Raw genomic sequence first — 10,951 nt, 5'->3', positions numbered from 1 at the left:
GCCCTTCAGCCTGCCGCTGCACTGTGGGAGCCCCTTTCTGGGCTGGCCAAGGCCGGAGCAGGCTCCCTCAGCTTGCGGGGAGGTGTGGAGGGAGAGACACGGGCAGGAACTGGGGCTGCGCATGGTGCTTGCTGGCCAGCGTGAGTTCTGGGTGGGCGTGGGCTTGTCGGACCCCGCACTCGGAGCGGCCGGCTGGCCCCACCAGCCCCAGGCAGTGAGGGGCTTAGCACCTGGGCCAGCAGCTGCTGTGCTCAATTTCTCGCTGGGCCTTAGCTGCCTTCCCACAGGGCAGGGCTTGGGACCTGCAGCCCGCCATGCCTGAGCCTCTCCAGCCCTCCGTGGGCTCCTGTGTGGCCCGAGCCTCCCCAACGAGCACCGCCCCCTGCTCCACGGCGCCCAGTCCCATCAACCACCCAAGGGCTGAGGAGTATGGGCACACGGTGCAGGACTGGCAGGCAGCTCCACCTGCAGCCCTGGTGCAGGATCCACTGGGTGAAGCCAGCTGGGCTCCTGAGTCTGGTGGGGAGGTGGAGAACCTTTATGTCTAGCTCAGGGATTGTAAATACACCAATTGGCACTCTGTGTCTAGCTCAAGGTTTGTAAACACACCAATCAGCACCCTGTGTCTAGCTTAGGGATTGTGAATGCACCAATCGACACTCTGTATCTAGCTACTCTGGTGGGGACTTAGAGAACCTTTGTGTCCACACTGTGTATCTAGCTAATCTAGTGGGGACGTGGAGAACCTTTGTGTCTAGCTCAGGGATTGTAAATGCACCAATCAGTGCCCTGTCAAAACAGATCACTTGGCTCTCTGTAAAATGGACAAATCAGCAGGATGTGGGTGGGGCCAGATAAGAGAATAAAAGCAGGCTGCTGGAGCCAGCAGTGGCAACCCGCTCGGGTCCCCTTCCACACTGTGGAAGCTTCGTTCTTTCGCTCTTTGCAATAAATCTTGCTACTGCTCACTCTTTGGGTCCACACTGCCTTTATGAGCTGTAACACTCACCGCGAAGGTCTGCAGCTTCACTCCTGAAGCCAGTGAGACCACGAACCCACTGGGAGGAACAACTCCAGATGCGCCGCCTTAAGAGCTGTAACACTCACCGCGGAAGTCCACAGCTTCACTCCTGAGCCAGTGAGACCACGAACCCCACCAGAAGGAGGAAACTCCGAACACATCTGAACATCAGAAGGAACAAACTCTGGACACGCCGCCTTTAAGAACTGTAACACTCACTGCGAGGGGCCGCAGCTTCATTCTTGAAGTCAGTGAGACTAAGAACCCACCAATTCTGGATACAACAGCACTCAACAGGTCATTAGACAGAAAGCCAACAAAGAAACAATAGATTTAAACTATATCCTAGAACAAAATGGGCTTAACGGATATTTACAGAACATTCTACCCAACAACTGCATAATATACATTCTATTCATCAGCACATAAAACATTTTCCAAGATAGACTATATGATAGACCACAAAGCAACTTTCAACAAATTTAAGAAAATTGAAATTATATCAAGTACTGTCTCAGACCACAGTGGAATAATATTGGAAATCAACTCCAAAAGGAACCTTCAAAACCATGCAAATACATGGAAATTAAATAACCTGCTTCTGAATGATCATTGGGTCAACAAGGAAATCAAAATGGAAATTTAAAAATTCTTTGAACTGAATGATAATAGTGACACAACCTATTAAAACCTCTGGGATATAGCAAAGGCGGTGGTAAGAGGAAACTTCACAGCCTTAAATGCCTACATCAAAGAGTCTGAAGGAGCACAAATAGACAATTTAATCACACCTCAAGGAACTAGAGAAACAAGAACAAACCAAACCCAAACCCAGCAGAAGAAAAGAAATAACCAAGATCAGAGCAGAACTGAATGAAATGGAAACAAACAAAAATACAAAAGATAAATGAAACAAAAAGCTGATTCTTTGAAAAGATAAATAAAATTGATAGACCATTAGCAAGATTAACCAAGAAAAGAAGAGAGAAGATCCAAATAAGCTCAATTAGAAATGAAATGGGAGATATTACAACTGATACCACAGAAATACAAAACATCATTCAAGGCTACTATGAACACCTTTACACTCATAAACTAGAAAACCTAGAGGAGATGTATAAATTCCTGGAAAGATACAAGCCTCCTAGCTTAAATCAGGAAGAATTAGAAACCCTGAACAGACCAATAACAAGAAGGGGGATTGAAATGGTAATAAAAAAAAATACCAACCAAAAAAAGTCCAGGTCCAGACGGATTCACAGCTGAATTCTACCAGACATTCAAAGAAGAATTGGTACCAATCCTATTGGCACTATTCCACAAGATAGAGAAAGAGGGAATAATCCCTAAATCATTCTATGAAGCTAGTATCACCCTAATATCAAAACCAGGAAAGGACATAACAAAAAAGAAAACTACACACCAATATCCGTGATGAACATAAATGCAAAAATCCTTAACAAAATACTAGCTAACCAAATCTAACAGCATATCAAAAAGATAATCCACCATAAACAAGTGGGTATCATACCAGGGATGGTTTAACATATGCAACTCAATAAATGTGATACATCACATAAACAGAATTAAAAACAAAATCACATGATCATCTCAATAGATGCAGAAAAAGCACTTGACAAAATCTAGCATCCCTTCATGATTAAAACCCTCAGCAAAATCAGCATGCAAGGGACATACCTCAATGTAATAAAAGCCATCTATGACAAACCCATAGCTAACATAATATTGAATGGGGGAAAAGTTGAAAGCATTCCTCTGAGAACTGGAACAAGACAAGGATACCCACTCTCACCACTTCTATTCATCATAGTACTGGAAGTCCTAGCCAGAGTGATCAGACAAGAGAAAGAAATAAAGGGTATCCAAATGGTAAAGAGGAAGTCAAACTGTCACTGTTTGCTGATGATATGATTGTATACCTAGAAAACCCTAAAGACTCCCCCAAAGGCTTCTAAAACTGATAAATGAATTCAGCAAAGTTTCAGGATACAAAATTAATGTGCACAAATCAGTAGCTCTGCTATACACCAGCAGCGACCAAGCTGAGAATCAAATCAAGAACTCAACCCCTTTTACAATAGCTGCAATGAAATAAAATAAAATAAAATACTTAGGAATATACCTAACCAAGGAGGTGAAAGACCTCTACAAGGAAAACTACAAAACACCACTGAAAGAAATCATAGACAATACAAACAAACGGAAATACAACCCATGCTCATTGATGGGTAGAATCTATATTGTGAAAATGACCATACTGCTAAAAGCAATCTACAAATTCAATGCAAATCCCATCAAAATATCACCATCATTCTTCACAGAACTAGAAAAACCAATCCTAAAATTCATATGGAACCAAATAAGAGCCCACATGTGCAAAGCAAGACCAAGCAAAAAGAACATCTGGAGGCATCACATTACCTGACTTCAAACTATATTATAAGGCCATAGTCACCAAAACAGCATGGTACTGGTATAAAAATAGGCACATAGACCAATGAAACAGAATAGAGAACCCAGAAATAAACCCAAATACTTACAGCCAACTGATTTTTGCAAAAGCAAACAAAAGGAAAGATTCCCTTGTAGGGAGGAGCCAAGATGGCCGAATAGGAACAGCTCCCGTCTACAGCTCCCAGCGTGAGCGACGCAGAAGACGGGTGATTTCTGCATTTCCATCTGAGGTACCGGGTTCATCTCTCTAGGGAGTGCCAGACAGTGGGCGCAGGCCAGTGGGTGCGCGCACCGTGCGCGAGCCGAAGCAGGGCGAGGCATTGCCTCACCTGGGAAGCGCAAGGGGTCAGGGAGTTCCCTTTCCGAGTCAAAGAAAGGGGTGATGGACGCACCTGGAAAATCGGGTCACTCCCACCCGAATATTGCGCTTTTCAGACCGGCTTAAAAAACGGCGCACCACGAGACTATATCCCACACCTGGCTCGGAGGGTCCTACGCCCATGGAATCTCGCTGATTGCTAGCACAGCACTCTGAGATCAAACTGCAAGGCGGCAGCGAGGCTGGGGGAGGGGTGCCCGCCATTGCCCAGGCTTGCTTAGGTAAACAAAGCAGCTGGGAAGCTCGAACTGGGTGGAGCCCACCACAGCTCAAGGAGGCCTGCCTGCCACTGTAGGCTCCACCTCTGGGGGCAGGGCACAGACAAACAAAAAGACAGCAGTAACCTCTGCAGACTTAAATGTCCCTGTCTGACAGCTTTGAAGAGAGCAGTGGTTCTCCCAGCACGCAGCTGGAGATCTGAGAACCGGCAGACTGCCTCCTCAAGCGGGTCCCTGACCCCTGACCCCCGAGCAGCCTAACTGGGAGGCACCCCCAGGCAGGGGCACACTGACACCTCACAAGGCAGGGTATTCCAACAGACCTGCAGCTGAGGGTCCTGTCTGTTAGAAGGAAAACTAACAAACAGAAAGGACATCCACACCGAAAACCCATCTGTACATCACCATCATCAAAGACCAAAAGTAGATAAAACCACAAAGATGGGGAAAAAACAGAACAGAAAAACTGGAAACTCTAAAACGCAGAGCGCCTCTCCTCCTCCAAAGGAACGCAGTTCCTCACCAGCAACAGAACAAAGCTGGATGGAGAATGACTTTGACGAGCTGAGAGAAGAAGGCTTCAGATGATCAAATTACTCTGAGCTACGGGAGGACATTCAAACCAAAGGCAAAGAAGTTGAAAACTTTGAAAAAAATTTAGAAGAATGTATAACTAGAATAACCAATACAGAGAAGTGCTTAAAGGAGCTGATGGAGCTGAAAACCAAGGCTCGAGAACTACGTGAGGAATGCAGAAGCCTCAGGAGCCGATGCGATCAACTGGAAGAAAGGGTATCAGCAATGGAAGATGAAATGAATGAAATGAAGCGAGAAGGGAAGTTTAGAGAAAAAAGAATAAAAAGAAATGAGCAAAGCCTCCAAGAAATATGGGACTATGTGAAAAGACCAAATCTACGTCTGATTGGTGTACCTGACAGTGATGGGGAGAATGGAACCAAGTTGGAAAACACTCTGCAGGATATTATCCAGGAGAACTTCCCCAATCTAGCAAGGCAGGCCAACGTTCAGATTCAGGAAATACAGAGAATGCCACAAAGATACTCCTCGAGAAGAGCAACTCCAAGACACATAATTGTCAGATTCACCAAAGTTGAAATGAAGGAAAAAATGTTAAGGGCAGCCAGAGAGAAAGGTCGGGTTACCCTCAAAGGGAAGCCCATCAGACTAACAGCGGATCTCTCCGCAGAAACCCTACAAGCCAGAAGAGAGTGGGGGCCAATATTCAACATTCTTAAAGAAAAGAATTTTCAATGCAGAATTTCATATCCAGCCAAACTAAGCTTCATAAGTGAAGGAGAAATAAAATACTTTACAGACAAGCAAATGCTGAGAGATTTTGTCACCACCAGGCCTGCCCTAAAAGAGCTCCTGAAGGAAGCGCTAAACATGGAAAGGAACAACCGGTACCAGCTGCTGCAAAATCATGCCAAAATGTAAAGACCATCGAGACTAGGAAGAAACTGTGTCAACTAACGAGCAAAATCACCAGCTAACATCATAATGACAGGATCAAATTCACACATAACAATATTAACTTTAAATGTAAATGGCCTAAATGCTCCAATTAAAAGACACAGACTGGCAAATTGGATAAAGAGTCAAGACCCATCAGTGTGCTGTATTCAGGAAACCCATCTCATGTGCAGAGACACACATAGGCTCAAAACAAAAGGATGGAGGAAGATCTACCAAGCAAATGGAAAACAAAAAAAGGCAGGGGTTGCAATCCTAGTCTCTGATAAAACAGATTTTAAACCAACAAAGATCAAAAGAGACAAAGAAGGCCATTACATAATGGTAAAGGGATCAATTCAACAAGAAGAGCTAACTATCCTAAATATATATGCACCCAATACAGGAGCACCCAGATTCATAAAGCAAGTCCTGAGTGACCTACAAAGAGACTTAGACTCCCACACATTAATAATGGGAGACTTTAACACCCCACTGTCAACATTAGACAGATTGAGACAGAAAGTCAACAAGGATACCCAGGAATTGAACTCAGCTCTGCACTAAGCGGACCTAATAGACATCTACAGAACTCTCCACCCCAAATCAACAGAATATACATTTTTTTCAGCACCACACCACACCTATTCCAAAATTGACCACATACTTGGAAGTAAAGCTCTCCTCAGCAAATGTAAAAGAACAGAGATTATAACAAACTATCTCTCAGACCACAGTGCAATCAAACTAGAACTCAGGATTAAGAATCTCACTCAAAGCCGCTCAACTACATGGAAACTGAACAACCTGCTCCTGAATGACTACTGGGTACATAATGAAATGAAGGCAGAAATAAAGATGTTCTTTGAAACCAACGAGAACAAAGACACAACATACCAGAATCTCTGGGACGCATTCAAAGCAGTGTGTAGAGGGAAATTTATAGCACTAAATGCCCACAAGAGAAAGCAGGAAAGATCCAAAATTGACACCCTAACATCACAATTAAAAGAACTAGAAAAGCAAGAGCAAACACATTCAAAAGCTAGCAGAAGGCAAGAAATAACTAAAATCAGAGCAGAACTGAAGGAAATAGAGACACAAAAAACCCTTCAAAAAATCAATGAATCCAGGAGCTGGTTTTTTGAAAGGATCAACAAAATTGATAGACCGCTAGCAAGACTAATAAAGAAAAAAAGAGAGAAGAATCAAATAGACACAATAAAAAATGATAAAGGGGATATCACCACCGATCCCACAGAAATACAAACTACCATCAGAGAATACTACAAACACCTCTACACAAATAAACTAGAAAATCTAGAAGAAATGGATAAATTCCTCAACACATACACTCTCCCAAGACTAAACCAGGAAGAAGTTGAATCTCTGAATAGACCAATAACAAGAGCTGAAATTGTGGCAATAATCAATAGTTTACCAACCAAAAAGAGTCCAGGACCAGATGGATTCACAGCTGAATTCTACCAGAGGTACAAGGAGGAACTGGTACCATTCCTTCTGAAACTATTCCAATCAATAGAAAAAGAGGGAATCCTCCCTAACTCATTTTATGAGGCCAGCATCATTCTGATACCAAAGCCGGGCAGAGACACAACCAAAAAAGAGAATTTTAGACCAATATCCTTGATGAACATTGATGCAAAAATCCTCAATAAAATACTGGCAAACCGAATCCAGCAGCACATCAAAAAGCTTATCCACCATGATCAAGTGGGCTTCATCCCTGGGATGCAAGGCTGGTTCAATATACGCAAATCAATAAATGTAATCCAGCATATAAACAGAGCCAAAGACAAAAACCACATGATTATCTCAATAGATGCAGAAAAAGCCTTTGACAAAATTCAACAACCCTTCATGCTAAAAACTCTCAATAAATTAGGTATTGATGGGACGTATTTCAAAATAATAAGAGCTATCTATGACACCCACAGCCAATACCATACTGAATGGGCAAAAACTGGAAGCATTCCCTTTGAAAACTGGCACAAGACAGGGATGCCCTCTCTCACCACTCCTATTCAACATAGTGTTGGAAGTTCTGGCCAGGGCAATTAGGCAGGAGAAGGAAATAAAGGGTATTCAATTAGGAAAAGAGGAAGTCAAATTGTCCCTGTTTGCAGACGACATGATTGTATATCTAGAAAACCCCATTGTCTCAGCCCAAAACCTCCTTAAGCTGATAAGCAACTTCAGCAAAGTCTCAGGATACAAAATCAATGTACAAAAATCACAAGCATTCTTATACACCAACAACAGACAAACAGAAAGCCAAATCATGAGTGAACTCCCATTCACAGTTGCTTCAAAGAGAATAAAATACCTAGGAATCCAACTTACAAGGGATGTGAAGGACCTCTTCAAGGAGAACTACAAACCACTGCTCAAGGAAATAAAAGAGGATACAAACAAATGGAAGAACATTCCATGCTCATGGGTAGGAAGAATCAATATCGTGAAAATGGCCATACTGCCCAAGGTAATTTACAGATTCAATGCCATCCCCATCAAGCTACCAATGACTTTCTTCACAGAATTGGAAAAAACTACTTTAAAGTTCATATGGAACCAAAAAAGAGCCCGCATTGCCAAGTCAATCCTAAGCCAAAAGAACAAAGCTGGAGGCATCACACTACCTGACTTCAAACTATACTACAAGGCTACAGTAACCAAAACAGCATGGTACTGGTACCAAAACAGAGATATAGATCCATGGAACAGAACAGAGCCCTCAGAAATAACGCCGCATACCTACAACTATCTGATCTTTGACAAACCTGAGGAAAACAAGCAATGGGGAAAGGATTCCCTGTTTAAAAAATGGTGCTGGGAAAACTGGCTAGCCATATGTAGAAAGCTGAAACTGGATCCCTTCCTTACACCTTATACAAAAATCAATTCAAGATGGATTAAAGATTTAAACGTTAGACCTAAAACCATAAAAACCCTAGAAGAAAACCTAGGCATTACCATTCAGGACATAGGCATGGGCAAGGACTTCATGTCCAAAACACCAAAAGCAATGGCAACAAAAGACAAAATTGACAATGGGATCTAATTAAAATAAAGAGCTTCTGCACAGCAAAAGAAACTACCATCAGAGTGAACAGGCAACCTACAAAATGGGAGAAAATTTTCGCAACCTACTCATCTGACAAAAGGCTAATATCCAGAATCTACAATGAACTCAAACAAATTTACAAGAAAAAAACAAACAACCCCATCAAAAGTTGGGCGAAGGACATGAACAGACACTTCTCAAAAGAAGACATTTATGCAGCCAAAAAACACATGAAAAAATGCTCATCATCACTGGCCATCAGAGAAATGCAAATCAAGACCACTATGAGATACCATCTCACACCAGTTAGAATGGCAATCATTAAAAAGTCAGGAAACAACAGGTGCTGGAGAGGATGTGGAGAAATAGGAACACTTTTACATTGTTGGTGGGACTGTAAACTAGTTCAACCATTGTGGAAGTCAATGTGGCGATTCCTCAGGGATCTAGAACTAGAAATACCATTTGACCCAGCCATCCCATTACTGGGTATATACCCAAATGACTATAAATCATGCTGCTATAAAGACACATGCACACGTATGTTTATTGCGGCATTATTCACAATAGCAAAGACTTGGAACCAACCCAAATGTCCAACAATGATAGACTGGATTAAGAAAATGTGGCACATATACACCATGGAATACTATGCAGCCATAAAAAATGATGAGTTCATGCCCTTTGTAGGGACATGGATGAAATTGGAAATCATCATTCTCAGTAAACTATCGCAAGAACAAAAAACCAAACACCGCATATTCTCACTCATAGGTGGGAATTGAACAATGAGATCACAGGGACACAGGAAGGGGAATATCACACTCTGGGGACTGTGGTGGGGTGGGGGGAGGGGGGAGGGATAGCATTGGGAGATATACCTAATGCTAGATGACGAGTTAGTGGGTGCAGCGCACCAGCATGGCACATGTATACATATGTAACTAACCTGCACAATGTGCACATGTACCCCAAAACTTAAAGTATAATTAAAAAAAAAAAAAAAGCAAACAGAAACATAAAGTGGGGAAAGTACACCCTATTCAACAAATGGTGCTGGGATAATTGGCAAGCCACACGCAAGAGAATGAAACTGGATTCTCATCACTCACCTTATATAAAAATCAACTCAAAATGTATCAAGGACTTAAATCTAAGACCTGAAACTGTAAAAATTCTAGAAGATGGCTGGGCACGGTGGCTCTCGCCTATAATCCCAGCACTTTGGGAGGCCAAGGCGGGTGGATCACGAGGTCAGGAGTTCAAGACTAGCCTGGCCGACATGGTGAAACTCCATCTCTACTAAAAATACAAAAATTAGCTGGGTGTGGTGTTGGGTGCCTGTAATCCCAGCTACTTGGGAGGCTGAGGCAGGAGAATCGCTTGAACCTGGGAGGCGGAGGTTGCAGTAAGCCAAGATCACGCCACTGCACTCCAGCCTGGGTGACAGAGCAAGACCCTGTCTTGGGGAAAAAAAAAAATTCTAGAAGAAAACATCAGAAAAACTCTTCTACATATTGGCTTAGGCAAAGACTTCATGACCAAGAACCCAAATGCAAATGTGACAAAAACAAAGATAAACAGGTGGGACTTAAACTAAAGAGCTTCTGCACAGCAAAAGGAACACTCAGCAGAGTAAACAGACAACCCACAGAGTGGGAGAAAATCTTCACAATCTATACATCAGGCAAAGGACTAATATCCAGAATCTACAACAAACTCAAACAAATTACAGGAGAAAAAAATTCCATAAAAAAGTGGGCTAAGGACGTGAATAGATGATTCTCAAAAGAAGACATACAAATGGCCAACAAACATGAAAAAATGCTCAACATCACAAATGATCAGGGAAATGCAAATCAAAACCACAATGCAGGCTGGGCATGGTGGCTCACACCTGTAATCTCAGCTCTTTGGGAGGCCAAGGCAGGCAGATCACCTGAGGTTAAGAGTTTGAGACCAGCCTGGCCAACATGGTGAAACCCTGTCTCTACTAAAAGTACAAAAATTAGCTGGGCGTGGTAATGCATACCTGTAATCCCAGCTACTACTTGGGAGGCTGAGGTAGGAGAATCGCTTGAACTCAGGAGGTGGAGGTTGAGTGAGCCAAGATCATGCCACTGCACTCCAGCCTGTGCGACAGAGTAAGACTCCATCTCAAAAAACAAAACAAAACAGAACAAAACAAACAAACAAAACCCCTGGCGGCCAGGCGTGGTGGCTCATGCCTGTAATCCCGGCACTTTGGGAGGCCGAGGCAGGCAGATCATGAGGTCAAGAGATCGAGATCATCTGGCCAA

General features: G+C 43.0%; 1 protein-coding gene across 1 annotated transcript in view; it reads left to right on the top strand.

Moving 5' to 3' along the window:
* Positions 1-3,629: 3,629 nt before the first annotated feature.
* Positions 3,630-10,951, top strand: part of GABRR1 (gamma-aminobutyric acid type A receptor subunit rho1) — a 53,785-nt gene continuing 46,463 nt past the window's right edge. Inside the window, exon 1 of the mRNA NM_001267582.2 lies at positions 3,630-3,702. The gene's annotated coding sequence lies outside the window, so the exon portion shown is untranslated. The remainder of the gene's footprint in view (positions 3,703-10,951) is intronic.

This window comes from Homo sapiens, chromosome 6, assembly GCF_000001405.40.
Source record: "Homo sapiens chromosome 6, GRCh38.p14 Primary Assembly".
NCBI lineage: Eukaryota > Metazoa > Chordata > Mammalia > Primates > Hominidae > Homo > Homo sapiens.
Note: the sequence above shows the minus strand (reverse complement) of the source record. Positions and strands in the feature narration are given on the sequence as shown.